The sequence below is a fragment of the Homo sapiens genome, chromosome 1, assembly GCF_000001405.40.
Source record: "Homo sapiens chromosome 1, GRCh38.p14 Primary Assembly".
In the NCBI taxonomy this organism is placed as follows: Eukaryota; Metazoa; Chordata; class Mammalia; order Primates; family Hominidae; genus Homo; species Homo sapiens.
In genome coordinates, this window is record NC_000001.11 from 184,273,473 (window position 1) to 184,291,153 (window position 17,681).

General features: G+C 41.4%; 1 annotated feature.

Moving 5' to 3' along the window:
- Window positions 16,406–17,605: an enhancer, noted in NCBI's record as "MED14-independent group 3 enhancer chr1:184259012-184260211 (GRCh37/hg19 assembly coordinates)". NCBI's record gives its function as "activates an origin of replication core promoter dependent on BRD2, BRD4, P300/CBP and CDK7 cofactors, and independent of MED14, by STARR-seq in HCT116 cells {active_cell/tissue: HCT116}" and the evidence as "EXISTENCE:reporter gene assay evidence [ECO:0000049][PMID:35650434]".

The following is a 17,681-nucleotide window of genomic DNA, read 5'->3' on the forward strand; positions in this document are numbered from 1 at the left end:
TCTGTCAAAAAAAAAAAAACAGTTTAAAACATTTTTCTGAAAGGTGGAATTGAATTGATCTGGAGGACAAAGAGACGGTTGCCCAGTGAATCAGAATTTCTACAAATGTTTATCAATTACTTACCACCTGTAAGCCACTGGGTTGGATGCCAGGGATACAGTGGAATAAGTAGAATAAGACAGACATGGCCACTGCCGTCATGGGGCAATGGAAGACAATCACTATATAAGTAAACATGAATTATGATTGATGTAGGTCCTACAAAGGCAAGGTTTGGGAGCTATGAGACTGAGTAACAGAGGGATGCAATGCCACTTGGGTGATATAGGGGAGTCTTTCCTGAGAAGGTGATAACTTAGGCTGAGATAAGCAGGAGTTATCCAGGGGAAGAGTGAGAGGCAAGTAGTACAGCCTGTGGGAAAGCCCAGAAGTGAGAAGGAACCGGGAAGCCAGTGTGTCTTCAGAGCAGAGCCTGAAGTTCTTCACTTGGGATCCCCAGGAAGTCTTTGAAAATCAGATAATTGTCTGACCACAGAGAGTGAAACTTGGTTATACAGCATTTGCAATCCACTTGCTATTAGGCATGCAGTAAATAAGCAGCCATTTCCCAATGTGCCATAGCACAGCATGGTGGTGAAATGTAGTTCTCTCCTCCAGACACACCTGCAGTCATACCAAATGTTGTGTATACATGGTTATTCATTGGAGCATTGACTATTCTAGCAAAAGACTGGAAACAACTCAGTGTCTCTCTGTAAGGAACTGGTTAAATAAATCAAGATATAACCACACAATGGAGTAGTATGCAGCTGAAAAATAATGATAAATTATTTACAGACTTAGATGAAAGGATCTCCAACATATAACATTAAGTGAAAAAATAAGATCCAGAAAAATGTATAACAAGTGCTACCACTTATATAAAAAAAAGTAAAAGTAAAGAATATTCGAGAGCATAAGAAGACAATCCACAGGGTACAATAATATTTGCAAAAGACATATGAGATGAAGGGCTATTATCTAAAAAATACAGAGTGGAAAGATATTCTATGTTCATGGATTGGAAGAATCAATATTATTGAAATGTCCATACTACCTAAAGCAATCTAGAGATTCAATGCAATCCCTATAAAAATACCAATGACATTCTTTACAGATGTAGAAAAAACAATCCTAAAATTTAGATGGAACCATAAAAGACCCAGAATAGCCAAAGCCATCCTAAGCAAAAAAGCAAAACTGGAGGAATCACATCATCTGACTTCAAATTATACTTCAAAACTATAGCAACCAAAACAGCATGGTACTGGTATAAAAACAGACAAATAGACCAATGGAACAGAATAGAGACCCCAGAAACAAATCCACATACCTACGGTAAACTCGTTTTTTACAAAGGTGCCAAGAACATACACTGGGGAAAAGACATTCTCAATAAATGCTGGGAAAACTGGATATACATAAGCAGAAGAATGAAACCAGACCCCATATCTCACCATATATATGAATCAAATCAAAATGGATTAAAGGCTTAAATCTAAGACCTGAAACTATGAAACTACTATAAGAAAACATTGGGGAAAAACTCCAGGACATCGGTCTGGGCAAAAATTTCTTGAGTAATACCCAATAAGCACAGGCAACCCGATCAAAAAAATGGACAAATGGAATCACAAGTTATAAACCTTCTGCACAGCAAAGGAAACAATCAACAAAGTGAAGAGACGACCCACGGAATGGAAGAAAATATTGGCAAACTATCCACCTGACAAGGCATTAATAACCAGAATATATAATGAGCTCAAACAACTCTGTAGGAAAAAATCTAATAACCTGATCTAAAAATGGGCAAAAGATTTGAATAGACATTTCTCAAAAGAAAATACACAAATGACAAACAGGCATATTTAAAGGTGCTCAACATCACTGATTATTACAGAAATGCAAATCAAAACTACAATGAGATATCATTTCACCCTAGTTAAAATGGCTTATATCCAAAAAGAGGCAAAAACAAATGCTGGCAAGAACACAAAGAAAAGGGAACCCTTGTACCCTATTGGTGGGAATGTAAGTTAGTACGACCCCTATGGAGAACACTTCGGAAGTTCCTAAAAAAACTAAAAACAGAGCTATCATATGATCCAGCAATCCCACTGCTGGGTATATATTCAAAAGAAAGGAAATTAGTATATCGAAGAGATATCTACTTTCCCATGTTTATTACAGCACTATTCACAATAGCCAAGATTTGAAAGCAACTAAAGTGTTCATCAACAGACAAATAAATAAAGAAAATGTGGTACATATACACAATGGAGTACTATTCAGTCATAGAAAGAATGAGATACTCTCATTTGCAACAACATGAATAAAACTGGAGGTCAGTGTGTTAAGTGACAGGCACAGCAGACAAACTTCACATGTTCTCACTTATTTGTGGGCACTAAAAATCAAAACAATTGAACTCATGGAGTTAGAACACAATAATGGTTACCAAAGCCTTAGGAGGGTAGTGGGGTGAGGGTGGGGGAAAATGGGGATGGCTAATGAGTACAAAAAGGTAGATAGAATGAATAAGATCTAGTATTTGATAGCACAACAGAGTGACTACACTCAATAATAGTTTATTGTACATTTAAAAATAACTAAAAGAGTATAATTGTATTGTTTGTAACATAAAGAAAAGATAAATGCTTGAAATTATGGATATCCCATTTACCCCAGTTATTACACATCATATGCCTGCATCAAAATATCTCATGTACCCCATAAATATATACACCTACTATGTACCCACAGAAATTAAAAATCAAAATTAAGTATACAAAGAACCCTTGAAACCCAGCAAAAAGAAAATGAACAACCTAATTTTAAAATGGGCAAAAGATCGGAACAGACATTTCACCAAAGAAAATATACAAGTGGCAGATATGCATATGAAAAGATGTTCAATGTCATATGTCATTAGGGAATGCAAATTTAAACAATAATGATATACCACTACACAACTATGAGAATGGCCAAATCCAAAACGCTGATGACACTAAATGCTGACGAGAATGTGGAGCAACAGGAACTCTCATTCATTTCTGATGGGAATGTAAAGTGACACAACAGTTTAGAAGTCAGTCTGGCAGTTTTTTAGAAGACTAAACATGCACTTACCATATGATCCAGCAATTACATTCTTTGGTATTTACTCACGTGAGTTAAAAATTTATGTTCACATAAAACCTGGCACACAGATGTTTACAGCAGCTTTATTAATAATTACCAAAGCTTGGAAGCAACCAAAATGTCCTTTTGTAGATTAATGGATAAATAAACTCTAGTACATTCAGAGAACAGAATATTATTCAGCACTAAAAAGACATGAGCTATCTAGCTATGTGCTATGATTTGGATATTTGCCCCCTGCCCCAATGTCATATTGAAATTTGATCCCCAATGTTGGAGGTGGAGCCTAATAGGAGGAGTTTGTGTCATGAGGCAGATCCCCCATGAATAGATGAATGACCTACCTGGGTGGAGGACAGAGTGAGTGAGTTTTACTCTATTAGTTCCCTTGACAGCTGGTTGTTATAAAGAGCCTGGCGTCTCCTGTTCCCCTCTCTCTCTTGCTTTTTCTCTTGCCACGTGATCTCTGCATGTCTCCTTGCCTTCCTCCATGAGTGGAAGCATTCTAAAGTCCTCACCAGAAGCAGATGCTTGGGCCATCTTTGTATGGCCTGCTGAACCATAAGCCAAATAAATCTCTTTTCTTTATAAATTATGCAGCTTCAGGCATTCATTTATAGCAACATAAATGGACTAAGACACCATGTAAGACATGGAAGAAACTTAAGTTCAAATTACTAAGTGAAAGAAGCCCATCCGAAATGGCTACATGCTGTATAATTACAGCTCTATAATACTCTGGAAAAGGCAAAGCTATAGAGACAGTAACTAAGATCAATGGTTTCCAGGGGTTGGGGGATGGAGGGATGAGTAGACAGAGCACAGAGAAATTTTAGGGCTGTGAAATTGTTCAATATGATACTATAATGATGGATACATGCCATTATACATTTGTCAAAACCCACAGAATATTCAACACTGAGAGTAAACTCTAGTATCACCTATGGACTTTGGGAGATAATGATATGTCAACTGTAACAAATGTATCATTCTGGCAGGGATGTTGATAGCGGGGGAGGCTCTGTGTGTGGAAGGGGACAGGAGATACATAGGAGCCCCTTTTTACTTTCCACTCAATTTTCCTGTGAACCCAAAACTGCTCTAAAAAATAAAGTTGATTGTTTAAAACAAAACAAAGTAGAGAATATATTTGCATTTGGTTGCATTTATATAGGAAACCCTTGAAAGTTACTCAGAAGACTAATAGAAGCAGTTACCTATGATATTGGAGGTATGGGGCAGATGGGGATGGTGGTAGGAGGCTAACCTTTTATTTTATACCTTTTTTTAATAGTCTTTAGGCTTATGAGACATATGAATGTGTCATTTATTCTAAAATTAAATTATATGAAGTGGGCACTAGAGTTAAACACATCATCTTGATTCCTGACTCCGTCATTTATTAGCTGTGTAGCATTGTAACATTACCTAACTCTTCAGTGCCTGACTTTCCTCATGAGCAAAACAGGGCTGATAATAGTTTATACCTCAAAGGAATGTTTTGAGGATTAAATGAGCTAAATACATGTACAGCCACTAAATCAGTGTTCATCATATAATAACTGCTTAATAAATCATGAAGGTAGTCATGATGCTGCTGCTCTCTAAAGGCATGTAATTTTTCCTATGATACCTGTGGTTTTCTCTGATGATTGAAATTCCTGGTGGAATTATGAGTAATTTTTATTTTCTTTGTTATACTTAAAGTATTTTCCAAATATTTATAAAGATCATGCATGTGTGATGAGAAAAATCCATGTTTTTTTCATTGTAGTAAGAACATTTAACACAAAATCTACCCTCTTAACAAAATTTTAAGTTAAAAATACAGTATTGTTAACCAGAGGCACAATGTTGTATAGCTAATCTCTAGAACTTAATCATCTTGCACAACTGAAACTTTATATTTGATAAATATCAATTTCCCTTTTCTATCTACCCCCAGCCCCTGAAAACCACCATTTTACTCTCTGTTTGTATGTACTTGACTATTTTAGATACCTCATACAGGTGGGATCATGCAGTATTTTTCTTTCTATGCCTGCCTTGTTTCACTTAGTATAATGTCCTCCAGGTTCATCCATGTGGTCTTGCATGGCAATATTTCCTCCTTGTGTAAAGCTGAATAATATTCCATTTTGTGTACATATCACATTTTTCTTATCCATTCATTCATTGACCAACATTTAGGTTGCTTCCATATCTTTGCTGTTGTGAATAATGCTGCAATGAACATGGAAGTGCAAATATCTCTTCAAAATCCTGAATTTAATTATTGTAGATGAATACCCAGAAGTGGGATTGCTGGCTCATATGGTGGTTCTATTTTTACTTTTGTGAGGTACTTCCATACTGTTTTTAGTAATGATGTACCAATTTACATTCCCACCAACAGTATACAAGGATTCCAATTCCAATTTCTCCACATCCTTGCCAACACTTACTATCTTTTTTTTTTTTTTCAGTAATAGCCATCCTAATGGGTGTGAGCTGATACAGGATTGTGGTTTTGATTTGCATTTCCCTAATGATCAATGACATTTAGTATCTTTTAATATACATGTTGGCCATTTGTATGTCTTTGGAGAAATGTTTACTCAAGTCCTTTGCCCATTTTTTTGTTTTTGCAATTGAGTTGTGTGAGTTCCTTAGATATTTTGGATATTAACTCTTTATCAGATATATGATTTGCAATTATTTTCTCCCAATCTATAGGCTGCCTTTTCATTTTGTTGATTATTTCCCCTGTCGTACAGAACCTTTTAGTCTGATATAGTCCCACTTATCTATTTTTTATTTTGTTACCTGTGTTTTGGTGCTGCATCCAAGAAATCATTGCTCAGACCAGTGTCATGAATCTTTTCCTCCATGTTTTCTTCTAGGAGTTTGATAGTTTCAGGCCTTAAATTTAAATCTTTAATCCATTTTGAGTTTATTTTTGTGTATGGCATACAATAAGTTTATTTTAAAAAAATAAAATAAAAATTGTCCATCTTTAGTCTTAAACTCTGCCCACTGGGTCTTGCCTTTACCTGTGCCCTGCCTCCTGCCCATTAAAACAGCCCGATGCACTCACCCATGTGCACTCTCCAGCTTTTCCAAAAATTGCCCTTCTGGCCACACCCTTTTTCCTTGGTTCACTGTTGCTCCGCATAAGTCCTATGCCTGGCTTTAGAATTCTAACTTCAACCCTAGCTCTTTGGGACTAATGTTTATATTTGTTTACTTGAACCTTGATTATACTTAAACATAGGTATGAATTCCATCTAGTTTTGTCCCCAGGAAACCACCCCTGATGACAAGCTCTTGGCTGTCACCATGGCTTTGCCAACGCTGGCTGTCCCCTAAGTTTGGGAATGGGTGGTGCATAGGAAGTTAAGATAATTTACATTTTATGCAGAATATATAATTTTTGGCATGATAAAAGAGTTGGCATCTGGGCATGAGTTCCAACCAAAGAAGTATTAAATTTATAAGAGACTCATTTGAATTTCTAATGTGACATGATAAGCATGCCTTCTTGTAAAAACATTTTACAGAAAAATAGAATAGCATGACGGGCTGGCGGTACAGACAATTCTGTCAACAACTGCTGGAGCTGTTCCATGCAGCATTCAAGAATTCCTTGATTTGGAAAAAACAAATAAGAAACAAGCTATACGGAAGTGTAAGGACGACAGAGCCATGTGCTGATTGCTTGGGGTTTTAAGGAAAGGACGGGAGTAGGGTGAACTCCCTACTAGCCTAAGGTGAACATTGGATTCGACAATCAGAGAGAACTCATCTTAATGATTGGTCCTACCCAAGATCTCAACCACATTCTCTGCATTTCCAAGAGGCAAAGAAAATGAGCTGTCACTAATGTGTTTTATGTTAACTATCAATAGGCGGAATTTGTGAACCGTCGCATGCTTAGCATCCAAAATAATTCCCTTTAGGCTGACATAGGAAAGAGAAAAGAAAAGATAAAACAAAAAGTGAACATTTTTGCTGGTTTGAAAACATTTATAGCCTGATTTTCTAGCCACCAGCATAGAAATATTTATTTCTCAGTATCATTTTTATGTTTATAGTACTTTCCAAATTTTCTACAGAAAGCTTAACTTTAAATTGGGAATGGGGCTGAGCACGGTGGCTCACACCTGTAAACCCAGTAATTTGGGAGGCCGAGACGGATGAATTGCTTGAGCCCAGGAGTTGGAGACTAGCCTGGGAAACATGGCGAAACCCTGTCTCTACAAAAAAATACAAAAAATTAGCCAGGAATGGTGGTGCCCGCCTGTAGTCCCAGCTATTCAGGAGGTTGAGGTGGGAGGATCACCTGAGCCCAGGAGATCAAGGCTGCAGTGACCTGTGATTGCACTACTGCATTCCAGTCTGAGCAATGGAGTGAGACCCTGTCCAAAAATACATATATACATACACACATAAATAAATTGGGAATAGGATTTTCTTTTTCTATGTATTTTCCCCTAATATAAATGCAAACCCAAACATTATAAAAGCAAATATGTATGTTTTTATTTGTGTGTTTTCTCTTCCTCCTCTTTCTGCTCCTCCTCCTTATTCTTTTTTTAGTGAGTTGTAGTAAAAGTAGCAGAAAGTGTGCTTAGAGAATCATAATCTGTAGAATTGGAAGTCACAAAAATTCTATGTTGACACTTGGCTAATAATAATAGCAATAATAATCAATCAACAGCTTTAAAGTGCTCTGTCGATGTCCCTACATGACACTTACACGTGGACTGAGCAATTGGTTTTGCTTTATAGCTATGTCCTAAGGGGCCTCCATAAAAAAGAAGCAAAAAGAAAGACACAAAAGAGAAGAAGAAAGGAAATGTCATTTACCATGTATTTAGTGTATACAAACCCTGTGCCAGATATGTTATATACCTGAATTCATCTGTTCTCCTCAAGGCCCTATGAATGGGTGCTAGTGTCCCAGTGATGGTGAGGAAGGAGATGATGGTGGTGCTGGTGGTAATGATTACCAGTTTTGAGGCTGTCTGTAAGCTAGGCACTATACTCTCTTCATTCAACCTGTATTCATTCAACAAATGTTTGTTCAGTGCCCATACTGTGTGCTAGGCCCTATTCTAGGCACTTGAGATATATCAATGTACAAAACACACAAAAATTCTTGCTCCTATGAAGCTACATTTGGGGGTGAAAGGGACACTAGACATTCCCAGATAATACACATATAAGTAGGGAACTGAGAGAATATGTTAGAAAGGGATACGTGCTGTGGAAAAATAATAGATCAGACCACAGCAGGTCAGGATTGTGGCATGGGGTTCAGGATGCAATTTTTAATCAAGTGGTGGTAGTAGCCCTGACTGAGAAGGTGATACCTGAAGCAGCTAAAGAGTTTGGCTGGCCGGCGGGTGGCTCATGCCTGTAATCCCAGCACTTTGGGAGGCCAAGGTGGGCAGATCACAAGGTCAGGAGTTCGAGACAAGCCTGGCCAACATAGTAAAACCCCGTCTCTACTAAAAATACAAAAATTAGCCGAGCATGGTGGTGCACGTCTGTAGTCCCAGGTACTCAGGAGGCTGAGGCAGGAGAATCGTTTGAACCCGGGAGGCGGAGGTTGCGGTGAGCCAAGATCACGCCACTGGGCAACAGAGTGAGACTCCATCTCAAAAAAAAAAAAAAAAAAAAAAAGAGTTTGGCCACATGAGTGTCTTGGAGGAAAGGGCTCCAGGCAATGGGAGCAGCCAGCACAAAGGCCCTGCAACAGGAAGATGGCTGGAGTATTCGCTGAACAGCAAGGAGGCCAGCATGGCTGGACAGGGGAGAGAGGTAACTGGGGCCAGATCCTGCAGGGCCTTTCAGGGCAATGAAAGGAGTCTGTCTTCTATTCTGAGTGAAATGCTAAGTCATTGGAAAGATATGAGCAGGCAAGTGACATGGTCTGATGTACATTTTAAAAACATCACTATATGGTATATATACACCATAGAATACTATGCAGCCATAAAAAGAATGAAATCATGTCCTTTGCAACAACATGAGTGCAGCTGGAGGCCATTAACATAAACGAATTAATGCAGGAACAGAAAACCAAGTACCACATGTTCTCACTTTTAAGTGGGGGCTAAATAAGCATTGCATACACATAGACATAAAGATGGGGCCAATAGACACTGAGGACTACTGGAGGGGGGCGTGGGCTGAAAAACCACCTATTGGGTACTATGCCCACTGCCTGGGTGATGGGATTATTCAGCCCCCAAACCTCAGTATCACACAATATACCCAATGTAACAAACCTGCACATGTACCCCCTGAATCTAAAATGAAAGTTGAAATTATTTTTAAAAAATAAAAATATCACTATGGCTGTTGTATTGAAATAATATTCTCCCTTACATGTATAATTTAGTGTGATCATTTTCTGAAATTCCTATAATTCTCATTTTACAAGCAAGAAGTCGAAGGGTAGAAAAATCAAGTAATCTTTGAGTAAGTGGTAGAGCCAGGAATCAAACCCAAACCAAGAATTGTCTGAATTCTAAGCCTGAACTCATTTTATGACTGCCTTGAAAGAACAACTTCTAGGTTCCCATTAGTTCATGACAACTGAAACATATGTTTCAGACATAGGAAGAAGCAGCATGTTCTATCTGGCTTAATAGATGGAGGGCAACAAAAATAATAAATTAATGGACTAACTTAGCAAATGAGTAATGAGTTCCTCCTATGTTTGTAGACACCGTGTTAAGTATTGGAGGGGCAAACTCACCCCTTAGATAGCTTATAGTTTAAGAAGTGAAAGATAGATATTGACAAATATGTGTGATAAAGTATTATTGAAACAATTTTAAAAGAATCTATAAGCTCCAGTGGGGGCCAAAATCAAAGTGATCAATTCTAAGATGGAGGGGATGGACTGTGGTATGTGACTCTTTGCAGTTGGGAAAACTTTTTCTCTCATCTGATGTCTTGTATTGCCTAGTTTACAGTCTCATAGTTTAGTTCAAGTGGCTTAAGAAGATCTTGTTTTTCTCTTGAGGTGCTTTCCAGGAAAAAAATGTAAGACTTTCTCACTTGAAGCATCCTCTCTGGGTCTTACCACTTTGCCATCTTGCTGCATTGGAGAGTCCTTTGGTGCAGTCCTTCCAAAAGCCCCTGCCAATCATCAGGGAGGGAGCGTTGGGAAATGAAGACATGGTCTGTGGGCACCGAGCCTATCCTGGGTCAGAATTCCTGATTCTACAATTTACTAAACTGTGTAACACTTGGAAATCCTTGTACCCTCCTCATCTGTAACTCAGGCATAAAAATACCACTTCATAGCATTGTGTTAAATAAAACAGCCAAGGCAAGATGAGCCTGATTCATAACAATTGCCTGATGAGTGTGAGCTCTTTGTGGGATTATTTTAGCGACATTATCTTCCCACACCAGAATTTGTGGCAGTGCTGAACTGGTCATTGCTTTGGTCAACATTTATAGCTATCCCTCCCTTGGAGGAGGAACTCCAGAAGGCTGGCTGCTGGCTTTATTTATTATTCCTGCTGGAAGGGAGGAGGACAGAAGGCTGGGGAATCACAAGCCCCTTGCTGGGATTTCACCTCAGCTGGTTCCATCAGTAGCCTCACCCCAGGGATTACATAAATATTTTGTGTTCCCAGAACCTCACTCTGGGCACTGTCCCAAGAGAGCTCAGTGTTTAGAATGCTGTGTCCTCAGCAGTCTGGCTTCAGACTTTATTAGTTAAGAGAAACTGCAGCAGACAGAAGCCCTCTTTTGAGTGTTTCTAGGGAGATAATGAGCCCATCACCATCACAATCATCAATAAGCATTGGCTTAACATGTCCTGTCTCCAGGACAGTTTGCTAGATGCAAAAATGATTCCATCCTTGGGGTCGGCCTAGTGTCACTTACTTCCGCTCCACTCTGGTCACACTACTTAATATTTGATGACCCTTTGACATGAGACAGTGAGGACAGGCATCAGCCCTCAATGTTGGAGATGACTGCTCCCTGATATAGTCAACCACCAAATTCATGGGCTTGAGGATGAGGCAGAACCCAGACTGCTCAGCAGAACTCATAAGCTCCCCTACAAAGAGTGTTTTTGTGATTTCCTGGGACACACCTGGAAAAGCAGAGTCATGGCCCACACAGGTGGGAGGACCTACAGAGGGGGGTCTTCTGTAAACATAAACATACATAGACTATCCCTATGGGGCCTGGAGCTCCTGATCTAAAGCCTGGAATAGGGAAAAGGAGAGCAAGAGAGACAGGTAAGTCAGTAAATACAAGGCAATGGGATATTTGCAGTAACAGAAAATAATGTACAAAACACTCAGAGAGCACAAGTGGCAGTTTATCCTGATCCCAAAGGGGCCTAAAATTCCTATTTATAGGAATGTAGCTTGGTGAGACCTAGAAAATAAGTAGACCCCTGATGCTTTAAAAAAAAAATTGCTGAATTGCAAAACCCTGCAAGGGCAATGATTAAGCCTATTTGACTTGCTTTATATCATAACTATCATGGAGTTGAAAGCATGTGAATATTGAATATGGTGGAACTCCTGCAATAGTAAAGAAAGGGACATTTGCAGGCAGTTTTGGGTGACGACTGGGACAGGGTATGAAGTGTGGACTAATTGGTTGAGTGCTGACTAGGATAAAGTCATCTCTCCATTCTCCAGAATAATCTTCACCCATCTTGATTAGGTGATTTGGGGTAAATCAATTAAATGTTGGGCTTCGGCCTGTCCACAAAGTTGGAATTTGGCAGCCTATCCTCCCTTACAGAAGCATCAAGGAGCTGATAGTCTTAGAAAGGTGCTTTGTGTTTCCAGAAAGAAAGTTGTTTGAACATCTGAGGTCTTATCATTTGCATGGTGTGACTCAATAAAGGCATCATTATACTTGGGGAAGAAAACCAGAGTTGAGACACGTGAGATGGGAGAATGTGTTCAAGCATGTCAGAAATAGACGAGAGGGTCATTGTCAGAAAATAAACCCCTGGAGCAAGCGTGGCATTGGAACGCATACCTAGAATGGAGGAATACTCAGGTAATCTTCTCTTTAGATCCCTCTGGGCTAATTCCAGGAGCTACAACTGAGAAGGGCAGTCAAATTTGGACAGGCTTCAGAGGAAAGTTGTTGAGTTGATTGAAGGGCTGGAAAATCATACCTATGAGAGAAGGTTAAAGGAGATGGGTCTAGCACCAATGAACAGTGTGACTTTAGACAAGTCACTTAGGCTTTGAGGAGCTCTGTTCACTCATCTGTAAAATGAGGACAGTGACCTGGCAAAGCACTCAGGTCCTTCCAGGTCTCACAATATTTTTACAGTCCAGGAGGAGAGGAAGCCAGGCAGTAATTTGTCATTCATTTCAATTATATGCCTGTTACAAATCTCTGTCTTCCTTACAGGAGATATAATAAGAGTAAAAAGGCTGGGACTGTAGGTACAGCTACTTTGCTGAAGACAAAACAATGCCATGGAAGGCTTTCCCCAATTAAACAGAGCAGAATTCGAAAAATAAATGTAGCTAACCTTCAAAGTTTTTGTTAAAATTATATTTTGGTTCTCATGTCTTCAGAAATTAGAGGCCAACCCTCCCACCTGGAGCCCCTTCCCCTTGTCCTATCCATGCTGGCATAAGACCTTCTTGTTTCCTCCTCTTGGGTTGGGTGGGATGGGAATAATTTATCTGCTCTCAAAAGAGATGCCAGTAATTTGTATGTGCATGCATGGATTACAGGTCATCCCAGGACGCTAAATCCATTTAAAAGCAGAAGAGAAACACCTACAAAAAAGTCCCACCCTTTCAATCCTGTTAGGCCATTCAGCAGAGGCTGCCTGCCAGCTGCAGTCGGTTTGTATCCAAGAAGCCCAATAAGGTGATCTGCCTCTCATGGTCCTTGACCTAATCCCTCCATGCTCCACTTCTATTTGGAAGAGCCAAAGATTGGGAGCAAGAATAGACAAAAAGCAGAACAATCTGAGGCAATAGTTGGAAAACAGAACCCTAGGGCCTACGGCTCCCATTCCTCACTGCCAGGTTCAAAGGCACAGGGTCATGTTGCATGGAGTATGAAAGCCTAGGATCATGGCCGTGCTGATTTCACCTGCAGGGCTAACACCCAACATCCAAATGTCCACCTTCTAGTAGTGCTCTTACTCTGAACTGATGTATTCAACCTTGGCTGCACATTGCAATCACCTGAGGAGCATTTTTAAAATGCCAATGCCCCAGCCCCATCTGTGGGGAATTAAATCTCTTGAGCAAGTGGGTTCCAGAAGGAATTGCCTTACATATTGACTGTGCCATGAACCACTATATTCTTCCAGTGGCAAATTAACTTAAAACACACAAAACATCAGGAGAATCACAAAGGAAGAAAAAAACCTAGCTTATAATACCATGTCCCTAACATACAATACACTCCCGTAAGGAAAATGGATGTGCTGCAGTCAAGAATAGGCCAAGGCAGACATCTGGTCCAGCATGACTCAGAAAGTTTGGAGTGCAGGTGCACAACTCCACACGTTATGTAACCACGTCATGTGAGGCTCATTATGTAACCACTCCACTTGAGGCACATTAGGTGATCACCCACGTGAGCTTGAGCTTGGCTCAGAGCCACTATTGACGTAAAAGGTCTAACTACCCTGCTGACATTGTACATACGGCTTGTGTCCACAGCTTGTTTGGGCCCACGGCTCGATCATGCCCAGAGAGAGAGTAAAAACCATGTCAAAACTCTATGATTCCTTGACTGTTTTTCCAGCTACCTGCCACTGGTCCACCCACTCTCCTCAGACCTCAGCTTGGGCTGAAAGCTGACACTTGCCATGACAATCAGTGTCATGAACAGGATCCCAGAGTGAGTGAGCTTTTTGTCCCCGCAGCTTCCACGTCAGCCATGTGGCCACAACATGGGTTGTGGTACACTGTGACAGCTATGATGTGAGGATGGGCTCCAGTGGAGACCTGAGCGGTGGTAGATGGGTACCCCCTGGGCATGGAGAAGGCACTGAAGCAGCTGGAAGCACAGAACACCAAGAAGTAGCGAGCCTTTGCTGGCAGAGTTGGATGGGTGTTTTTGACTATGCTACACAACCAGTACCTGAGGGATGCAGCACAGGTAAGGGCCCTCCAGGCACAGGTGGGGTGCCTGGAGGCCCAACTACACAGCTCAGAAAAAGAATTAGATGCTGCTGTGAATGGGGCAGGCAGGGCGCCTGAAGGCCTGGCTACAGAGCTTGGAAATGGAATTAGAGGCTGCTGTGAATGCAGGACAGGGTCCGTTGTCTCAGCCGGAGACCCCCACTTGGTCTGAGTCTGCACCATAAAGAAGGGGACGCTGCCTCACCCACAGGGGCCCCCCCAACATGGGAGAAAAGGAGGCCCCAGTGAGTGACATGTTCACAGATGTGGAGAGATATTTGATTTTGGCCTGGGTTGACTGAGAGAAAATTGATAAGCAGCCCAATGAAGTACTCTTAACTTTGTGGAGACAGAGCAGCAATTCCAGAAAATGCCCAAGGGGAAGGACATTGCTGTGTGACCCTGTCCCACCCGGGTGCTTCAGCTCAAAGACTACTTGCTGCAGCCAGGTAGAAATGTAGAGCTTTTCCTGTTTGATTAGGGAACTGGCCGAGGTGCCTGGCTTGGGGGGACACTGGAAGACCAGAGGCCACATGTGGAATTACCAATCTACTGGTCCCCTACCAGTGTACAGCAAGTGCTGGGCTGTTAGACACCAGTGCAGATACATTCTGGGGGGATATTTTACATGGCTTGGCAGCTGTGCCATCTATCACCAACCTGATGGACCACTTGACAGAACTGGGACAGTATCACTATGTCGTGGACTTGGCTAATGCATTCTTTTCCAGAAAGCCAGGAAGTTTGCCTTCATGGGAAGGTGACAATGGACTTTCACAGTGTTGCTGCAGGGCTATGTGCATAGCCCTACCGTATGTCATGGTCTTGTTGATGATATTATGCTAACCTCTGATTCTCTTGCAGATTTAGAAGCAGTAATGCTTCCCTTGTCTAAAATTAAGATGATGACACTGAGACAGCCTTTCTAGCAGCTAGGTGGGCTATTCAACAGTCACAAGCCCTATGGGTAATTAACCAGGGGCGCCCATTTAAACTCGATGTGCATGTGACCACAGATAGTTTTGGCTGGGGCCTATAGCAGCACTTGGAGCGCTTGAGAACACCAGTAGGCTTTTGGTCCCAAATAAGGAAAGGAACTGAACTCCAGTATTCATTGATAGAAAAGCAGTTAGTAATTGCATATGTTGCCCTTCAGGCTCACAAGAGCGTGGCAGGACAGACTACAGTCATCAACTTACCTGATAGTGGGACGGATGCATTCATGGATAATAACTCCCTGGACAGGGAAAGCAGTTAGCAACTGTATATGCTGCCCTTCAGTCTCATGAGACTGTGGCAGGACAAGCTATAGTCATCATGCAGATGACCTACCTGATAGTGGATGGGTGCATTCATGGATAACAGTTAATGACCCCCTGGACTGGGATGGCACAGACATCCACTTTAGCAAAGTGGAGTGCCTACTTGGAGCAGCAGAGCACACTGAGTACAAGTCCCCTTGCAGCAGAGTTGCAAGAGGTCTTGGGACCTGTGGTCCTAATGCAAGATAAGGCCACGGGGCCTGAGGCACCCCTAGACCCTGAGCCTTCACCATCTAAGGAAAGGTGTCCCCCCATTCCCAATGGTGCGTGGTACACAGATGGGTCTAGCCGAGGTGCTGCTGCTGCCTGGACCAGACCACTGTTGCAGTCCAACCTAGTACTGCCACCCTATGTTTTGAAACTGGGTGTGGGCAAAGTAGCCAATGGGCTGAACTTAGAGCAATATGAATGAAGATCACCAAGGAAGTGACACCTATGACAATCCACACCGATAGCTGGGCAGTTTATTGAGGCTTAACCTTGTGGTTAACCTTGAGATTAACATTTGAGTTAGTGGGCTGGGGAAGGCAGACCCACCCTTAATCTGGCAGGTACCATCTAATCAGCTGCCAGCGAATGTAAAGTAGGCAGAAAAATGTGAAAAGTCTACACTGGCCTAGCCTTCCAGCCTACCTCTTTCTCCCATGCTGGATGCTTCTTGCTGTTGAACACTGGACTCCAATTTCTTCAGTTTTGAGACTCAGTCTGGCTCTCCTTGATCCTCAAGCTTACAGACAGCCTATTGTGGGATCTTGTGATCATGTAAGTTAATACTTAATAAACTCCCATATATATCCTATTAATTCTGTCCCTCTAGAGAACTCTGACTCATACAGTAGGGAAATAAAAACCTGGCTTAGTGTATAAAGCAACATTGGGGTAACATCACCATGGGGTGGTTGCCTGCTATAACCTGGAGTTGTTGCTCCCTGTATTACTGCTGTGGCCTCTGGTTACACAATTCCACCCTGTGGGTGTGTCTCCCCACTAGAATACTCCCTTAGCCTAGGGGGTGGGATGTAAGGCCTATGTGTTGAACCTGTGTGTCTGGGGCCTGTGTGCCCAGATCCTATGTATAAGGCCTATGTGTCAGACCAGTGTCCAAGGCCTATGTCTCCTTCGGCCTAGGGGATGGAGTGTAAGAAAAATGGATGTGCTGCAGTCAAGAATAGGCCAAGGTAGATATCCAGTACAGCATGACTCAGCAAGTTTGGAGCACAGGCGCACAACTCCACAAGTTATGTAACTATGCCATGTGAGCACATTAGGTGATCACCCACATGAGCTGGTGCTTGGCTCGGAGCCACTATTGTCTCTAAAAGGTATAACTACCCTGATGACGTTGTACATATGGCTTGCACCCATGGCTTGTTTGCACCCACAGCTCGCTTGCACCCAAAGAGAGGAAAAGCCATGTTGAAACTGTCTACAATTCCTTCAGTGTTCTTCCAGCTACCTGCCACTTGTCCACTGACTCCCAATGGACCTCAGTTAGAACCTAAGAACTCCTTAAGAAATTCTCTTCTTGTGGAGATGCTGTTTCTTCACTCCTATGTTAAGCATTCTTTTGTGCAGTATCCATTGATTACCTGATCCATATGAAGAATACCTACCCTCAATGAGTTGTCTGTAAAAAAAAAAATAGTGGCAGATTAATGTTGATATCCACCTATTGTTGCTGTTTCTCCCAACCATTGTGATTCTGTCATAGTGCTTGGCACTTAGTAGAAGCTCAGTATGTTTTTGATAACTGACGGACAATCTTTGACCTTGCCCCTGAAAATTTCAGCCCACCAGAGGCTTAGATGGTATTAAGGAAATTTATTCAGAATTTAGAATGGTGGTAGCAGTAAATCAATGTTTCACATTCATAGGGGCTACTGGCGGTAGAATGGGTTTACAGAATTTCATTTCCATCTACAGTTTTCCTGCCCTATTTCACCTGTCAGACAAAGGGCTCACATTTGTATTCTCTCTGCAGGATGTTTTCACCTTGTCTGCATATGCATCATTAAATAGTTCAAGATCAATTGCAGA